Genomic DNA, 18,897 nt, shown 5'->3' on the forward strand with positions numbered 1-18,897 from the left:
AAGACTTCTTGCCAATGTGATCCTTGGTAACTTTGGTAGGAACTGGGTGGTTTTGACTAAATTAGTATTCTCCTAAAGAGTGTGAAGAAAAACCATAAAAGATCTAAGTATGTGGAAAAACACCTTGTGTTCATGGATAAGAAGACTTAATATCTTCAAGATGTCAATACTACCAAAAGTGATCAGCAGATTCAATGCAATTACTATGAAATTTCCAACAGCCTTTGTTGCAGAAATGGAAAAGTTGATCCTCAAAATTCATATGGAATTTCAAGGGGTCCCAAGTAGATAAAGAAAAAGAAGTACAAAGTTGGAGAACTCACACTTCTTGATTTCAAAACTTATTATTAAAGCTATAGTAATCAAAACAGTGTGGTACCTATATAAGGAAAAACCTATAAACCAATGGAATAGAATTGAGAGTTCAGAAATAAACTCACACATTTATGGTCAACTGATTTTTGACAAGGGTGCCAAGTCCATTCAAAAAGGAAAGAATAATCTCTTCAACAAATTGTCCTGGGATGACTGTATATCTACATATAAAAGAATTAAGCTGGACCCCTACCTCACACCATATACAAAAATTAACTAAAAACATAAAACAAGAACAAAACATAGAGGTAAATGGGCAATGGGTTTTTGTGACATCAAAAGCACGAGCAAAAAAAAGAGATAAATTGGACTTTATTAAAATTAAAATCTTTTTGCATCAAAGGACATTATCAAAAAGTAAAAAATAAACCTACAAAATGGGAGAGAATATTTACAAATCATATATTTTATAAAGCTTTAATATCCAAACTATATAAATATATTCTACAGCTCAATAACAAAAAGACAATAACAAAAAGACAAGCAAAGCAATTTAAAAATGGGCAAGAGCTTGAATAGACATTTCTGCAAAGAAGATAGACAAATGGCCAATAATCACAGGAAAAGATGTTTAATATCATTAGTCAAGAGAAAAACGCAAATCAAAACCACAAAGAGATACCATAGCACTGACAATACCACTTAGATGCCACTAAGAATGACTATCATTTTAAAAATGGCAGGGGTGGGAGGGAATAAGTATTGGCAAGAGTGTGGAGAATTGGAACCATCATACATTGCTGGTGGGAATGTAAAATGGTGCAGCCACTATGGAAAAGAGTTTGGCAGTGTCTCCAAAAGCTAAATAGAGAATTAACATATGACCCAGCAGTTCTACTCCTAGGTATACATACACACACACACAAAATGGAAACAGGGACTTGAATAGATATCTGTACATCAGTGTACACTGTGGCATTATTTACAACAGCCAAAAGGTGGAAACGACTCAAGTGTCCATCAAAAATGAATGAATAGACAAAAAAAGTGGTACAGCCAAACAATGGAATATTATTCTACCTTAAAAAGAAATGAAGTTCTGATATGTGCTACAGTATGAATGAACCTTGAAAACATTATTCTAGGTAAAATAAGCCAGACACAACAGTATATATATTGTATAACTCTCCTTATATGAAATATCTAGAATAGGCAAATTCAGAGACAGAAGTAGATTAAAGATTTACAGGAACTGGGAGGACAGAAGAATGGAGAGTTATTGCTTATCTGTTACAGAGTTATTCCTTATCAGTTTCTGTTTGGGGTGATGAAACAGTTTTGAAAATGGTGATGGTTATACAATCTTGTGAATGTAATTAATCCCACTCACTGAATTGGACATTTAAAGTGGTAAATTAGCAAATTTAATGTTATATATAACCACAAGTTTAAAAAAAAATAATGTAATAAGCCAAAAACCATTGAACTGTACACCTTACATGGTAAATTTGTATGATATGTGAATTATATCAGTATCTACATAATTATATAACCTAGATCTATAATCTATAATTATATCTAAGGCTATTAAAAGGAGAAAAAGTGGTCTTTAAAAAGAAGAAAATCTTGTCATTTGTGACAACATGAATAACCCTGGAAGACATTATATGAAGTGAAATAAGCCAGGTCCAGAAAGATAAATACAATATGATCTCATTTACATGTGGAATCCAAAAAAGTAGATTTCATAGGTGAGTAGGGTAGTGGTTACCAGCGGCTAGGGGGTTGGGAGGGTTAGAGGGATTATGGAGATACTGTTCAAAGGATATAAAATGTCAGTTAGACAGGTGAAACAAGTTCAAGAGATCTATTGTATTATATATTATGGTAACTACTGTTAATAATTACATATTGTTTACTTGAAAATTGCTTAAGAGAATAGATTTAGCTTGATTTACCCATTGTACAATGTATACATATTTAAAAATATCATGTTGTACCCCATAAATATATACAATTTTGGCCAGTGCTTTGGGAAGCCGTGGTGGGAAGATTGCTTGAGACCCAGGAAATTCAAGACCAGCCCGGGCAATGTGGCAAGACCTTGACTCTAGAAAAAAATTAAAAATTAGCCAGGCACAGTGACATGCTCCTGTAATCCCCATTACTCAGGAGGCTGAGGCAGGAGCCCAGGAAGTGGAGGGTGCAGTGAGCTATGATGGCACCACTGCACTCCAGCCTGGGCAACAGAGTGAGACTCTGTCTCTTAAATAAATAAATAAATAAACATGGGAGTAATTGCTGCAGACGTGACCAACAAATTAATGTTTAAATTAGTGGGTAAAAGTTTAGGTAGAGATGGAAAGTTTTAATAGCCTCAAAGTGTCTCCCCTAACATATTTGTTGACTAAAAATAAAAAAAAATGTAAGTTTGCAATAGTAGACATCTGCTAGACATCATCTTAACCAGGGGTCAAGGATAACATTCCAGTATGGGGACATAACAATATTACATGCCACCAGATATGAGGCACTAAGAAAGGCACATCACCTCTGATATTCCTCCCAAATCCATAACCCTAGTCTAGCCATGAGACAATATCAGGCATACCCAAATTTAGGGACATTCTACAAGCTACCACTCTTCGAAAGTGTCAAGGTCAGGAAAGACAAGGAAGAACTGAGTGTATTTGTTTGCTAGGGCTGCCATAACCAACTATCACAAACCAAGTGACTTAAATGACAGAAATTTCTTGTCTCACAGCTCTGGAGTTCAGAAGCCCAAAATTAAGGGGCTGCAGGGCTTGTTCCTTGTGAGAACTGTGAGGGAAGGATCTGTTCCTGGCCTCTCTCTTGAGCTTGTAGATGGCCATCATCTCTTTCTCTTCACATCATCTTCCTTTATGTTTTTGTACAAATTTCCCTTTTTATGAGGATACCAGTCATATTGGATTAGTATTAGATTACCACTCTATTGACCTCATTTTAACTTGATTACCTGTATAAAGACCCTATCTCCAATTAAGGTCACATTCTGAGGCATTGGAGGGTAAGATTTCAACGTGTGAATTGGAGGTGATGAAACACAATTCAGTCCATAACCCTGATGCACAGATTGGAAGGAAGTTTAAGGAGACATGAAAACGATGTACAATGTAGATTGCTAGATTGGATCCTGAAGCAGAAAAAAAAAATATGGGTGAAGAAGCTGGTGAAATCTGATAAGGTCTATAATTTAGTTAGTGGTATTATACTGAGGTTAATTTCTTAGTTTTGATCATTGTACCATAGTTATGTGAGATGTTAGCTGTGGGGGAAGCTGGGTGACAAGTGTGTGTGTAGGAGTTCTCTGTACTATCTTTGCAGTTGTTCTGTAAGGCCTTTATTTATTTATTTATTTTCAAAATAAAAAAGTAAAGATCTATTCAAGTTTATTTCCTATGAAGGAGCTAAAATATAAAGGCCATCATTTTATAGACAGCATCAAAATGTGGAAAAATGAGTTAGTTTAATCTTATTCCCTGAAAACAAGTCATCTAGTATCTAGTTGTGTTGAGAATTGTCCATATTGTTGAGAATTAACAAAGAGGGCAAGAGGTAAAAACAACTTTTGATCAAAGCAGGGAGTGAAAATGATGATGTGCTAAAAAAAAAAATCTCATATATCCTATGCCAAGTCTTTCACTGCCCTCTCCAGTGAATAAAAACCTATCCATATAGTTCATGTGTTTGCTTCTTAGGGGAAAAGTTCAGACTGTGATTAACAAAAGTGACCACTTCCTATATTAGAGTGATGTCTTTATAAAGAGAATAAAGATAGTATCTCATTCACCTTTGGATTATATACAGGAGGCACTCAAGATATACGTATTTAATTTTTGACATATAATTTTTATAAAGGGGAAGCAGCCAAGATGGCCACATAGGAACAGCTCCGGTCTACAGCTCCCTGCGTGAGCGATGCAGAAGACGGGTGATTTCTGCATTTCCATCTGTGGTACCGGGTTCATCTTACTAGGGAGTGCCAGACAGTGGGCACAGGACAGTGGGTGCAGTGCACCGTGCCTGAGCCAAAGCAGGGCGAGGCATTGCCTCACTCAGGAAGTGCAAGGTGTCAGGGAGTTCCCTTTCCTAGTCAAAGAAAGGGGTGACAGACGGCACCTGGAAAATCGGGTCACTCCCGCCCTAATACTGCGCTTTTCCGACGGGCTAATAAACGGCGAACCAGGAGATTATATCCCACACCTGGCTCGGAGGGTCCTATGCCCACGGAGTCTCACTGATTGCTAGCACAGCAGTCTGAGATCAAATTGCAAGGCGGCAGCGAGGCTGGGGGAGGGGGGCCCGCCATTGCCCAGGCTTGCTTAGGTAAACAAAGCAGCCAGGAAGCTCGAACTGGGTGGAGCCCACCACAGCTCAAGGAGGCCTGCCTGCCTCTGTAGGCTCCACCTCTGGGGGCAGGGCACAGACAAACAAAAAGACAGCAGTAACCTCTGCAGACTTAAATGTCCCTGTCTGACAGCTTGGAAGAGAGCAGTGGTTCTCCCAGCACGCAGCTGGAGATCTGAGAACGGGCAGACTGCCTCCTCAAGTGGGTTCCTGACCCCTGACCCCCGAGCAGCCTAACTGGGAGGCACCCCCGAGTAGGGGCAGACTGACACCTCACACGGCCGGGTACTCCTCTGAGACAAAACTTCCAGAGGAACGATCAGGCAGCAGCATTCGCGGTTCACAAAAATCAGCTGTTCTGCAGCCACCGCTGCTGTTACCCAGGCAAACAGGGTCTGGAGTGGACCTCTAGCAAACTCCAACAGACCTGCAGCTGAGGGTCCTGTCTGTTAGAAGGGAAACTAACAAACAGAAAGGACATCCACACCAAAAACCCATCTGTACGTCACAATCATCAAAGACCAAAAGTAGATAAAACCACAAAGATGGGGAAAAAACAGAGCAGAAAAACTAGAAAGTCTAAAAAGCAGAGTGCCTCTCCTCCTCCAAAGGAACGCAGTTCCTCACCAGCAACGCAACAAAGCTGGATGGAGAATGACTTTGATGAGTTGAGAGAAGAAGGCTTCAGATGATCAAACTACTCCGAGCTACAGGAGGAAATTCAAACTAAAGGCAAAGAAGTTGAAAACTTTGAAAAAAATTTAGACAAATGTATAGCTAGAATAGCCAATACAGAGAAGTGCTTAAAGGAGCTGATGGAGCTGAAAACCAAGGCTCGAGAACTACATGAAGAATGCAGAAGCCTCAGGAGCTGATGCGATCAACTGGAAGAAAGGGTATCAGTGATGGAAGATGAAATGAATGAAATGAAGTGAGAAGGGAAGTTTAGAGAAAAAAGAATAAAAAGAAATGAGCAAAGCCTCCAAGAAATATGGGACTATATGAAAAGACCAAATCTACGTCTGATTGGTGTACCTGAAAGTGACGGGGAGAATGGAACCAAGTTGGAAAACACTCTGCAGGATATTATCCAGGAGAACTTCCCCAATCTAGCAAGGCAGGCCAACATTCAAATTCAGGAAATACAGAGAATGCCACAAAGATAATCCTCGAGAAGAGCAACTCCAAGACACATAATTGTCAGATTCACCAAAGTTGAAATGAAGGAAAAAATGTTAAGGGCAGCCTGAGAGAAAGGTCAGGTTACCTACAAAGGGAAGCCCATCAGACTAACAGCGGATCTCTCAGCAGAAACTCTATAAGCCAGAAGAGAGTGGGGGCCAATATTCAACATTCTTAAAGAAAAGAATTTTCAACCCAGAATTTCATATCCAGCCAAACTAAGCTTCATAAGTGAAAAAGAAATAAAATCCTTTATAGACAAGCAAATGCTGAGAGATTTTGTCACCACCAGGCCTGCCCTACAAGAGCTCCTGAAGGAAGCACTAAACATGGAAAGGAACAACCGGTACCAGCCGCTGCAAAATCATGCCAAATTGTAAAGACCATCGAGGCTAGGAAGAAACTGAATCAACTAATGAGCAAAATAACCAGCTAACATCAAAATGACAGGATCAAATTCACACATAAAAATATTAACTTTAAATGTCAATGGACTAAATGCTCCAATTAAAAGACACAGACTGGCAAACTGGATAAAGAGTCAAGACCCATCAGTGTGCTGTATTCAGGAAACCCATCTCACGTGCAGAGACACACATAGGCTCAAAATAAAACGATGGAGGAAGATCTACCAAGCAAATGGAAAACAAAAAAAGGCAGGGGTTGCAATCCTGGTCTCTGATAAAACAGACTTTAAACCAACAAAGATCAAAAGAGACAAAGAAGGCCATTACATAATGGTAAAGGGATCAATTCAACAAGAAGAGCTAACTATCCTAAATATATATGCACCCAATACAGGAGCACCCTGATTCATAAAGCAAGTCCTGAGTGACCTACAAAGAAACTTAGACTCCCACACAATAATAATGGGAGACTTTAACACCCCACTGCCAACATTAGACAGATCAACGAGACAGAAAGTTAACAAAGATACTCAGGAACTGAACTCAGCTCTGCACCAAGCAAACCTAATAGACATCTACAGAACTCTCCACCCCAAATCAACAGAATATACATTTTTTTCAGCACCACACCACACCTATTCCAAAATTGACCACATAGTTGGAAGTAAAGCTCTCCTCAGCAAATGTAAAAGAACAGAAATTATAACAAACTGTCTCTCAGACCACAGTGCAATCAAACTAGAACTCAGGATTAAGAAACTCACTCAAAACCGCTCAACTATATGGAAACTGAACAACCTGCTCCTGAATGACTACTAGGTACATAACAAAATGAAGGCAGACATCAAGATGTTCTTTGAAACCAATGAGAACAAAGACACAATATACCAGAATCTCTGGAACACATTCAAAGCAGTGTGTAGAGGGAAATTTATAGCACTAAATGCCCACAAGAGAAAGCAGGAAAGATCCAAAATTGACACCCTAACATCACAATTAAAAGAACTAGAAAAGCAAGAGCAAACACATTCAAAAGCTAGCAGAAGGCAAGAAATAACTAAAATCAGAGCAGAACTGAAGGAAATAGAGACAAAAAAACCCTTCAAAAAATCAATGAATCCGGGAGCTGGTTTTTTGAAAGGATCAACAAAATTGATAGACCGCTAGCAAGACTAATAAAGAAGAAAAGAGGGAAGAATCAAATAGACGCAATAAAAAATGATAAAAGGGATATCACCACCGATCCCACAAAAATACAAACTACCATCAGAGAATACTACAAACACCTCTACACAAATAAACTAGAAAATCTAGAAGAAATGGATAAATTCCTCGACACATACACCCTCCCAAGACTAAACCAGGAAAAAGTTGAATCTCTTAATAGACCAATAACAGGCTCTGAAATTGTGGCAATAATCAATAGCTTACCAACCAAAAAGAGTCCAGGACCAGATGGATTCACAGCCGAATTCTACCAGAGGTACAAGGAGGAACTGGTACCATTCCCTCTCAAACTATTCCAATCAATAGAAAAAGAGGGAATCCTCCCTAACTCATTTTATGAGGCCAGCATCATCTTGATACCAAAGCCTGGCAGAGACACAACCAAAAAAGAGAATTTTAGACCAATATCCTTGATGAATATTGATGCAAAAATCCTCAATAAAATTCTGGCAAACCGAATCCAGCAGCACATCAAAAAGCTTATCCACTATGATCAAGTGGGCTTCATCCCTGGGATGCAAGGCTGGTTCAATATACGCAAATCAATAAATGTAATCCAGCGTATAAACAGAACCAACGACAAAAACCACATGATTATCTCAATAGATGCGGAAAAGGCCTTTGACAAAATTCAACAACGCTTCATGCTAAAAACTCTCAATAAATTAGGTATTGATGGGACGTATCTCAAAATAATAAGAGCTATCTATGACAAACCCACAGCCAATATCTACTGAATGGGCAAAAACTGGAAGCATTCCCTTTGAAAACTGGCACAAGACAGGGATGCCCTCTCTCACCACTCCTATTTAACATAGTGTTGGAAATTCTGGCCAGGGCAATTAGGCAGGAGAAGGAAATAAAGGGTATTCAATTAGGAAAAGAGGAAGTCATATTGCCCCTGTTTGCAGATGACATGATTGTATATCTAGAAAACCCCATTGTCTCAGCCCAAAATCTCCTTAAGCTGATAAGCAACTTCAGCAAAGTCTCAGGATACAAAACCAATGTACAAAAATCACAAGCATTCTTATACACCAATAACAGACAAACAGAGAGCCAAATCATGAGTGAACTCCCATTCACAATTGCTTCAAAGAGAATAAAATACCTAGGAATCCAACTTACAAGGGATGTGAAGGACCTCTTCAAGGAGAACTGCAAACCACTGCTCAATGAAATAAAATAGGATACAAACAAATGGAAGAACATTCCATGCTCATGGGTAGGAAGAATCAATATCATGAAAATGGCCATACTGCCCAAGGTAATTTATAGATTCAATGCCATCCCCATCAAGCTACCAATGACTTTCTTCACAGAATTGGAAAAAACTACTTTAAAGTTCATATGGAACCAAAAAAGAGCCTGCATCACCAAGTCAATCCTAAGCCAAAAGAACAAAGCTGGAGGCATCACGCTACCTGACTTCAAACTATACTACAAGACTACAGTAACCAAAACAGCATGGTACTGGTACCAAAACAGAGATATAGATCAGTGGAACAGAACAGAGCCCTCAGAAATAACTCCGCATATCTACAACTATCTGATCTTTGACAAACTGAGAAAAATAAGCAATGGGGAAAGGATTCCCTATTTAATAAATGGTGCTGGGAAGACTGGCTAGCCATATGTAGAAAGCTGAAACTGGATCCCTTCCTTACACCATATAGAAAAATTAATTCAAGATGGATTAAAGACTTAAACGTTAGACCTAAAACCATAAAAACCCTAGAAGAAACCCTAGGCATTACCATTCAGGACATAGGCATGGGCAAGGACTTCATGTCTAAAACACCAAAAGCAATGGCAACAAAAGCCAAAATTGACAAATGGGATCTAATTAAACTAAAGAGCTTCTGCACAGCAAAAGAAACTACCATCAGAGTGAACAGGCAACCTACAAAATGGGAGAAAATTTTCACGACCTACTCATCTGACAAAGGGCTAATATCCAGAATCTACAATGAACTCAAACAAATTTACAAGAAAAAAACAAACAACCCCATCAAAAAGTGGGCGAAGGACATGAACAGACACCTCTCAAAAGAAGACATTTATGCAGCCAAAAAACACATGAAAAAATGCTCACCATCACTGGCCATCAGAGAAATGCAAATCAAAACCACAATGAGATACCATCTCACACCAGTTAGAATGGCAATCATTAAAAAGTCAGGAAACAACAGGTGCTGGAGAGGATGTGGAGAAATAGGAACACTTTTACACTGTTGGTGGGACTGTAAACTAGTTCAACCATTGTGGAAGTCAGTGTGGCGATTCCTCAGGGATCTAGAACTAGAAATACCATTTGACCCAGCCATCCCATTACTGGGTATATACCCAAAGGACTATAAATCATGCTGCTATAAAGACACATGCACACGTATGTTTATTGCGGCACTATTCCCAATAGCAAAGACTTGGAACCAACCCAAATGTCCAACAATGATAGACTGGATTAAGAAAATGTGGCACATATACACCATGGAATACTATGCAGCCATACAAAATGATGAGTTCATGTCCTTTGTAGGGACATGGATGAAATTGGAAATCATCATTCTGAGTAAACTATCTCAAGGACAAAAAACCAAACACCGCATGTTCTCACTCATAGATGGGAATTGAACAATGAGAACACATGGACACAGGAAGGGGAACATCACACTCTGGGGACTGTTGTGGGGTGGGGGGAGGGGGGAGGGAGAGCATTAGGAGATATACCTAAAGTTAAATGACTAGTTAGTGGGTGCAGCACACCAGCATGGCACATGTATACATATGTAACTAACCTGCACAATGTGCACATGTACCCTAAAACTTAAAGTATAATAATAATAAAAAATAAAAAAATTAAAAAAAAAGAGATGATTTCTGCACTTCTGAGAGAATCTCCTAGAATGTGTATACGGAGTTCAGCACTGTGCATTTGTAATGACTGCCCTTTATTGTAATATCACTCTACAATATGTATATTAAATAAGGCAGCTGCATAAGAAAAGCATTGAGACGCAATGTGATTCTGCAAGCCAATCTTTGCCTTCCTTATATTTATTTGTATGTCACATTATATTACTTTCCAATAATGATGTCAAATGTGCATCTACTATCTAACTAATATTTATTTATAATATTTACTTAATTAATATTGATACAGGTAATTACCATCCTTATTTAGTGACTCCCTGACTTCCTCCCATAAAGCTACAAAGAAATGGAAAGTATCACGTGGGGATATTTACATCTATTTCTAACAAAACCTAAAACAAACACCAATTGCTTTATGTATTTAACAGTAGAGACATTTCTTCCTTGCTGCAGTTGTTAAAGATATTTAGAAAATAAAGAATCTGGGCCTAGGTGGGCAGATCACTTGAGCCCAGGAGTTTGAGACCAGCCTGGGCAACATGGCAAAACCCCATCTCTACTAAACCCCATCTCTACTAAAAATACAAAAGATCACCCAGGCATGGTGGCATGTGCTTGTAGTCCCAGCTACTTAGGAGGTTGAGGCAGAAGAATCGCTTGAACCTGGGAGGCAGAGGTTGCAGTGAGCTAACGCCATTGCACTCCAGCCTGGGTGACAGAGCAAGACTGTCTCCAGAAAAAACAGAACGAAAAAGAAAATAAAGAATCTGGGAAGTGCAGCATTGTAACTCTCATTGTCCACCCCCCACCCCCACAAAGAGTTACTTGGTGTTCTTTGTGTTGATACTAATAGTCTTACATCTCTGAAAAAAAGTTCTTCCTTTCTTAGACAGGAACATGCATCATTAAATTATAAGAAAACAATGCTAAGAAATAGGGAAGAGAAAAATCAAAGTAAGTGTCATAATAAATGTCAAATGTTTAAAATGTCACATTTCAAATTGAAATTATATAAATCTACATGATTTTAAACATTTGAACATTTTAAACATTTGAAGATCCCTTAGCTTTATACCCAAATTAAAATTAATCAGACTGATATCAAAAGACAGTTTGGATGCCAGTAAAAGAGGCATCCAAATATGAAATATGAAAGTCCACTTCCATGAAATCTATGAGTTTTCTCACTAAACAATGTCCTCAAAGCCAGTGGAGCTACCACCGATGTCATCAGAGACAGCCCTAGAGGGAGTGGGGCACTTTTGCCCTTCCTCCTTCAGGGGTTCAAGCTGAGGAAAAGGATGGTCTCCCTCCCCCTTCAAAAGGTGCAAAATGGATTCAGGTCTTGAGAAGAACATGAAGTCTTTACAATCTTCAGGCCTCTGCTTTACTGGTGCACAGTAACAAGAGCGATTTCTCTGAGGAAACAATTAACTTCTATAAATCATCAATATTTACTACTCTTCACCATTTAGAAGAGACTTTTCCCTTGGAGCTTACTAACAATGGAAAAGTTATTTCATGCTATGTAAGTATGAGATTCCCTCATATGTGATACATGTTAATATATACAGCCTTCTTTCTATGTAAAGGAAGCGGGACCTCAGAACCTCCTTGGGCAGAACCTCCTTGGGTGACTATTACATGTTTTTCAAGTAGGTAAATCTGCCCAATTTAATCTACTAAACCAATCTGCATGTAATAACAGCTACCATTTATTGAATGCTTATACTGTGTGCCAAGCAATGAGACAAGTGCTTTACAAGAAACATCTTAGCAAATATGCCCAAGATGGGATTACTATTTTTTATATACAGATGAGAAAATTGAGGCTCTGAAGAGTTAAGTAACTTGCCCTGTGGTCACTGACTCAGTAAAGGGTAAAGACCAGATTTGAACCCCTGGTCTGTGTGATTCCGAAACAGGAAAATTCCCTTATCCCCATCGCAGGGCATGCGATGGGGGTGTCACTCACTTCTTCAGTGCCCCACTGCTCAAACCTCTAGGGGGAGCATGCAGAAGGGCAGGTTGTGGGGCTCGGACTCCACGGCAGCGTATAGGGGTGAACGTTTACAGCTCCTGAAGCCCTGCTCAGCGTTTGTTACAGGGTGCTCTTTTAGTTTAGTCATCCGGATGGCTTGTGTTAGCTAGCTCAATTAGACCTCCTGCCTAATTGCAAGGAGAGGGCTTTCTGTGTCCTGAGGTTTCTTGCCTTGGTGTAACCGGAAGAATCGGATCCCACGTGAGGGCTTGGAGAATGAGTGCAAGATTTTATTGAGTGGAAGTAGCTCTCAGCAGATGGAGAAGCCAGAAGGCAGATGGAGTGGGAAGGTGGTTTTTCCCTGGAGTCGGGCTGCTCAGCAGCCCAGATCTCCCCTGACCACCTGGGGCTAAAATCTGCATCATTCTGCCGGTGGATGGCCTGCCTGTTGATGGCCTGCCTGCATCTGTTGTGTGCTCTTCCCCTGGCACGCTTCTATGCACGTCCAGCCGCTTGTGTGTTCTTCCGCCAATATGTTCTTCTCAACATCCAGCTGCTTGTGTCTCTGCCTGCTAGGGTCTCAGGGTTTTTATAGGCACAAGGCAGGGGTGTGGCAGGCCAGGGTGGTCTTGGAAAATGCAACATTTGGGCAGGAAGGCAGGAGTGCCTGTCCTCACCTAGGTCCATGGGCACAGGCCCAGTGGTGGAGCCCTAGCCAGGGCCCACGTCCTTCCCTTCCCAGCACTTCCCTGCCCCACTCCTGTGTCAATTCCAGTAATGATATACTTTTCATTATTTCATGTTGCTTCTTAAGTCTACTTCATGCAGTAGGCTGTGATGACATAAAGATATTCATTGAGAGACTACCATGGTATACCACGTGTCCTAGGACTAGACAATTTGTTCCTCAGTTTTCTGGTTTTAAAATGAGGATAATAAAGATTCCTTCCTCACAGGGTAGTTGTGATGATTAAGTTAATTAATACATGTAAAATGCTTAGAATAGTACATAGCACATAATAAGTGCTATGTAATTGTTAGATATTATTCTGAGTTCCAGGAATCAGAGATACATCACTGAAAAAAACAGATAAAAATCTTTGCTTTCATAAAACTTCATTCTAGAGAAACAGCAAATGAACAAACAACATATACAATATGTCAAAATGTAGCAAGAACCATGAAGAACAAAAGTAAAAAAGGAAGATAAAAAATACTGGGAGGAGGGTGGTTGGGGAACTATTTTACATAGGGTTCTCTTGGAAGGCCTCAGTGAGGTAACATTTGAGCAAAGACTTGGAAGCAACATGGTAGTAAGCCATGCAGACTGAGGCATGAGAATTGCTTGAACCCAGGAGGTAGGAGGTTGCAGTGAGCTGAGATCATGTAAGTGTACTCCAGCCTGGGTGACAGAGCGAGACTCTGTCTCAAAAAAAAAAAAATTAGTATTTGCTAGATTGCAATAATTGGTTCTTCAGGAGTTGAGTGGGGAATGCTGCCACCAGGATAAACACTATGGAATTCATTGCACTTCAAACTTTTACTTAGTTACCTTGTGCTTCTTACGGAAGTGGACAAGCTGGCAAAGAAAGGAGTTACTATGCTCGTGGGAGTAATCAACTGTGATTAGCAAAAGGATCTAGGATTGTTGCTCCACAATAGCACTAGGGAGGAATTTGGAATCCAAATAATTCGCTGGGGCTTACTAGGTGTTTCTGTACCCAGGGATAATTTGAACAGGTAATTACAGCAATCATGGCTTAACCAGAGAAAGGAAAATAAAGGCTGAAGGTGGGGGCTATTTCACCAGAGAAACAACTTAGACCAGCTGATGTGCTGGTCAATGGTGAGGGAAAATTAGAATGGGTAGTGGAAGAGGGAGTTAATACAAGTATGGTCCTGACATTGATGCAGCAGTAAAAACTGAAGCTTATTCTATTAACTCTCTTATATTAAGGCTTTGCTGAGATTGTGGCTGGCCATCACCTTGAAGAGACCTCTGTGAAGGACTGAACATAACAGAGCACACAGGCAGATCAGAGTGCTGCAAGATATGGACACCTTCTATGTCCTTCTGTGCAACTTAGGCCATGACTTCAAATCCCTTCAGCCTATTATTCTAACCACTGCTGCAGCAACCTGCTCGGAGCAGGTTTGATGACCTTTGAACAAGTGCGAAATACCAGCACCTCTCCTCTCACTTCCTGCCCCAGCATGTCTCTGATGTGGGAGTCAGCTTGGCATTCACAACTGTGCGATTTGTAAGTGTGAAGTAGTTAATGCCCAAGGGCATTAACCTTCGATCAAAGAGGACAGGAGCCGACATACAAATGCTTCCTCCGTTCTTTCCTTTAATGGACAGTTCTGAGACTCATTTCATAAAGCTTCTTAGAAGGTCCTAAGGGACTAAGAAAACATTCAAATATGGTGATGACCAACTCAGTAACACATTCTTATACTGCATCTCCCTTTTTGTTTTGTCTTCTTCCTCTTCCCTCATTTTGCTCCCTGGGATCAAATTTCCAAATAAACTATTGCATATAAGTGTCACTTTGCAGGGAATCCAAGAGGAGAGAGGATAATTTAATTTTTGGACACACAAGTTTGAGGTGTCTATAAGACATCCAAGTGGAAATGTCAGGCGATGGGCAGTATATACACAAATCTTGAGGTTCAAGAAAGAGATCTAGGCTTCTGAAATGCAATTCATTTCCCAACTTTGAGGAGGGCTATAAACATACAGGTAAATAAAAGAAAGATAATAGGACCAAAAAACACATGCAATTGTCATAGAGTGTCCACAGTAAGCATTCCGGTGCCAAGCAGGAAAGGGTCTTTGTAAAGATATAACCAGATCCTGCTCTTAAAAGGGAAGTCATTTGATGAAAGTGAAAAGTATTCTAACTACTGTTTGCTCATTTAAATTTCTAGCACATTTATCTGATCTGTACCTCTCTTTGGTCACTTATTTTGTGTCCTATTTTATATATATTTGTACCTACACCTTGTCTAGTCCTACCACACTGTGAACTCCTTTAGGTTAAGATTCATGCCTGAATCACCTCTGTACCTGGAATCAAAGTGCCTAGCATTAAAAAAAAAAGGTGCCAGGAATATTGAATAAATAAAACACCTACCTGCAACCAGCAACATTGGCATCATTTATGCATCCCAAACTTAAATATGCATAAGCATCATCTTGCTAAGATGCAGATTCTGATTCAGTAGATCTGAAGTGAGCCAGAGAGGCTGCATTTCCTAAAAAGCCCCCAGATGATACCCAAGCAGCTGATCCACGGACCACACTTTGAGTATCAAGGTCATGAGGACAATGGTTCTTGACCTTAGCTGCATATGAGAATCATCTGGGAAGATATTAAAAGTACTGATGTCTGGGTCCCACCCGCAGGGATTCTGATTTAACTCATTTAAGCTCTCCAAAGTTTAAGTAGCAAAGATCTAGAGTTAATAGAGCTTTACGTATGAAAAAAGAAAACATTTAATCGAATTTCTTCTTAAATGAATTGCTGCAAATATCTGAATAAATAACTCTTAATCCCCAACTCCCAAGTCAGTTTCTGTGCCACAAAGGCCCCGCCCCTGCCCTTCCCTGACACGCCCCTCCAATGAGGCCTTGTTCCGCCTGGCCACGCCCGTCGGTTGGCGCCCCGCCCCTCCGCGTCTATTGGCCGCTCCCTTTTTCTCCCATCGCTGCTTCTTCCTTCTCTACGCGGTCAACTTCCGGCGCGGAGTTTGTCACGTGCCCGGATATAGGAAGTGTTGGGGGAACGGCCGCTTCCCGTTCAACGCTTTATTGAGGGGCGTATCCTAGTGGCCCCCATCCGGTCTCCGTTTTGGAAGACCCGCCTCGGCACAGCCAGGCTCAGTCCGGCCTTGCGGTAAGCCTTCGGCCGCGGCTGCCCGGTAGTCCCGGCGGCGGCGGACAGACGAGCTGACAGGCACCAGGGTCTAAGGCGGCTCCTCAGTCCGGCTGCTGTCTCCACGCCTGGGGTCGGGCACCGCTCCTTCTGACCTTCCTTTCCCCGTTTGTCCCGGTAAGACGAAGTTTGGTCAGAGCATTCTCCAGTCCCTTGTCCTCGGGTCTAGGAGAATGCGGAGCTGGGAGGGCAGTCCTCACGGGCCCCATTACGGTTCCGCCCATCGGAACCAGATTTTGTTTGTGCAAAATGACCCTGATCGTAAGCTCTTTGGCGTGGTCCAGGAGAGGAGAGCGTGACTGTGCCTTCCTCTTTGTCCAAATTCACATCCCGGCCCCCCAACCCCAACTCCCCCCCACCCCCCGCCAAATCTCTTAAGTGTATTTCTCTATTTCCTTGCACAGTTATATCTTCTAGATGGCAATGCTTCATGCATTAATATATCTCAGCAGCATACAGGGCCCAATGCACACGGGCACTCACACTGACAGGCTATTTGTCACACAGTGTGGTGGTCCAACTGAGCTGAAGGAAACAACCAGTACAGAGTAAGCAGTGGATGGCTGCCTTTGGAACGTGGTCAGATATGGGTTCTCAGACCTGGAGAATAATTTTAGAGGACCTCTAGGGATTTATTTACTGACTTTCAGAAAAGTACCGTAAAGACTGAAGAGTTAATCACTCGACTCTTAGGATGTAAATGCCATAGAAACACCCGGCTTCAGGTCTTCATAAACATATCTGTCATGTTGACTACTGTAACCTAGAATAGTGTCTGCCACCTAATAAGCATGAGTATTTGCTGAATGAATGAAGAGTCACATACTGCTTTTCATTATGGCTAACTCCTTTATGAGGTATGCCCAATCCTGTCTTGTTTTGCCTCTTACTGTACACTCAGTTGCTTTTAGCCAGAGAAGGAGTATGTGGTAAACGTTGGTCCCTATTATTCATTTGACCAGTTTTTACTATTCAGTTCTAATTACCTTAATAGATATTTAAGTATCCACTAAACACAAAACTATGATGAACATCCCTCCCTTCTTTAAGAGAATTCTTGAGATAGAGAAGCTTATGATTTAATGAGCCCATTAGACGGCAAATGCAGTAAGTGCTGTAGAAATTTAGAGGAGAGATCACTTTGGATTAAGATCTTCATTGAATCAACTTCATGTAAACCATGAAGTGTAATTAGGGTTTGGATAGGGCGGAGATGATATTCCTTACATGGAAAGTACCAAAGTGAAGATTTGATGTCCAAAATGAACAGAGTGTTTGGAGTGGAATGTTTTTGAGAACATTAGGAAAACGTTGAGTAAAAGCGTGATGTGATACAAACTGTCTTTTAAAATTATCTTGTTGTTCAGGGTTGTGGGACCTTGCAAAGAGAACCAGATTTTGTAGGGTTAAGTAAAGTTGATATGAACCTGGGTCAGTATATTTGCAGTGCGAAAAGAAAGGAATAAATTACATGTAGATGGGGGGAAATCGCAGAATGTGGTAGCAGATTTCATGTTGATAAGGGAATAGGGAAGCAAATATGGTAGATTTTGAACCTGGACATTTGCTTATAGATGTGAAAGTTAGGAAAGGGGAATCTTGGAGGAGCTATAGCTGTCATGTTAGTGAATTTAAGCATTTGTTAAATGCCTAGTTTGTCAAGTTCTAGGAATACAAAGATGATTAAGACATGGTCCTACTTTTAATAGGGGATAAAATACAGCTAGCTAGAAAATACAATTCATAAATGCCGTATTTATGAAGTAGAGGGGAAGTGTTAGAGAGGTAGAAATTACTCTTTGCGTGGGGCGGCTGCAGGGAGGGGGCTACTTTACAGAAAAGATGACATTTTAGCACAATCTTGAGGGATGAATTGTAATTTCCTAGGGAGAAGAGAATTCTAGGAAAAGAAGGTTGCATGAACAAAAGCCCAGAGATAGAAAAGTAAACTGGCCAGTGCCATTGTGGCTTGGGCTTAGGAAGAAATATAACATAGTGTCTGGGCCCTACAACATATTAAGGGATTAGCAGCATGGACACTCTATAATAAGCCAAAAGGAGGAGAGGTTGGGTGAAGGTGTGGAGAGACGGAGAAGCAAGCAATTGGGGATAATTGTATTTCATGGCTTTTATATCCTCTGCAAGGTAGATTGTTAAGTCATTTGCAGAGCGGGAGGAGGCTAACTGCTAGACCTGGAAACTGAAGGAGAGTAATAAGGATTTACAACAATAGTCATGGGGAACGGAAAAAGGAATCATCAAATGAGGGATTAATTGCCGAGCAGCATTGAAAGTCTAACTTTCACTGGATGTAGATATTTGTAATGCACGCAATGAGCGTGGATATGTGGCTTTTGAAAGTGGCATTTGGTAGTCCAAGAGAAGTGAAGAAAATAATACAGTTTATGGAGATTGATAAAAACAAGATCAGCTGGTCTACAAACAGGGTGAAATAATTGTAGGGGATAGTTTAGGTATAGGGAAATGAGCACTGTCTCCAGGCTAGGTTGGAAAAGAAGTAAACTTGGAGAGGCCAGATTAAGAGAACAGAAAGAAGGGCAATGTCAGAAGACTAGAGGCTGAG

At 40.6% G+C, this 18,897-nt stretch overlaps 1 protein-coding gene across 9 annotated transcripts in view, besides 3 other annotated features; it reads left to right on the plus strand.

The window, feature by feature from the left end:
• Positions 3,944-4,577: an enhancer, noted in NCBI's record as "H3K27ac-H3K4me1 hESC enhancer chr4:56707633-56708266 (GRCh37/hg19 assembly coordinates)". NCBI's record gives its function as "activates a minimal SCP1, AML or CMV promoter by ChIP-STARR-seq in primed H9 embryonic stem cells {active_cell/tissue: H9 hESC(primed)}" and the evidence as "EXISTENCE:reporter gene assay evidence [ECO:0000049][PMID:30033119]".
• Positions 4,578-5,211: an enhancer, noted in NCBI's record as "H3K27ac-H3K4me1 hESC enhancer chr4:56708267-56708900 (GRCh37/hg19 assembly coordinates)". NCBI's record gives its function as "activates a minimal SCP1, AML or CMV promoter by ChIP-STARR-seq in primed H9 embryonic stem cells {active_cell/tissue: H9 hESC(primed)}" and the evidence as "EXISTENCE:reporter gene assay evidence [ECO:0000049][PMID:30033119]".
• Positions 15,917-16,016: a silencer, noted in NCBI's record as "silent region_15445". NCBI's record gives its function as "represses an Ori minimal core promoter by ATAC-STARR-seq in GM12878 lymphoblastoid cells {active_cell/tissue: GM12878}" and the evidence as "EXISTENCE:reporter gene assay evidence [ECO:0000049][PMID:35858748]".
• EXOC1 (exocyst complex component 1) overlaps positions 16,125-18,897 on the plus strand; it is a 51,439-nt gene continuing 48,666 nt past the window's right edge. For 5 of the 9 annotated variants that reach the window (XM_005265747.4, XM_017008405.3, NM_001024924.2 and 2 more), the window contains exon 1: positions 16,125-16,430. The gene's annotated coding sequence lies outside the window, so the exon portion shown is untranslated. The remainder of the gene's footprint in view (positions 16,431-18,897) is intronic. The other 4 variants (XM_005265748.2, XM_017008406.2, NM_018261.4 and 1 more) reach the window with 1 other exon arrangement.

This window comes from Homo sapiens, chromosome 4, assembly GCF_000001405.40.
Source record: "Homo sapiens chromosome 4, GRCh38.p14 Primary Assembly".
Taxonomy (NCBI): Eukaryota; Metazoa; Chordata; class Mammalia; order Primates; family Hominidae; genus Homo; species Homo sapiens.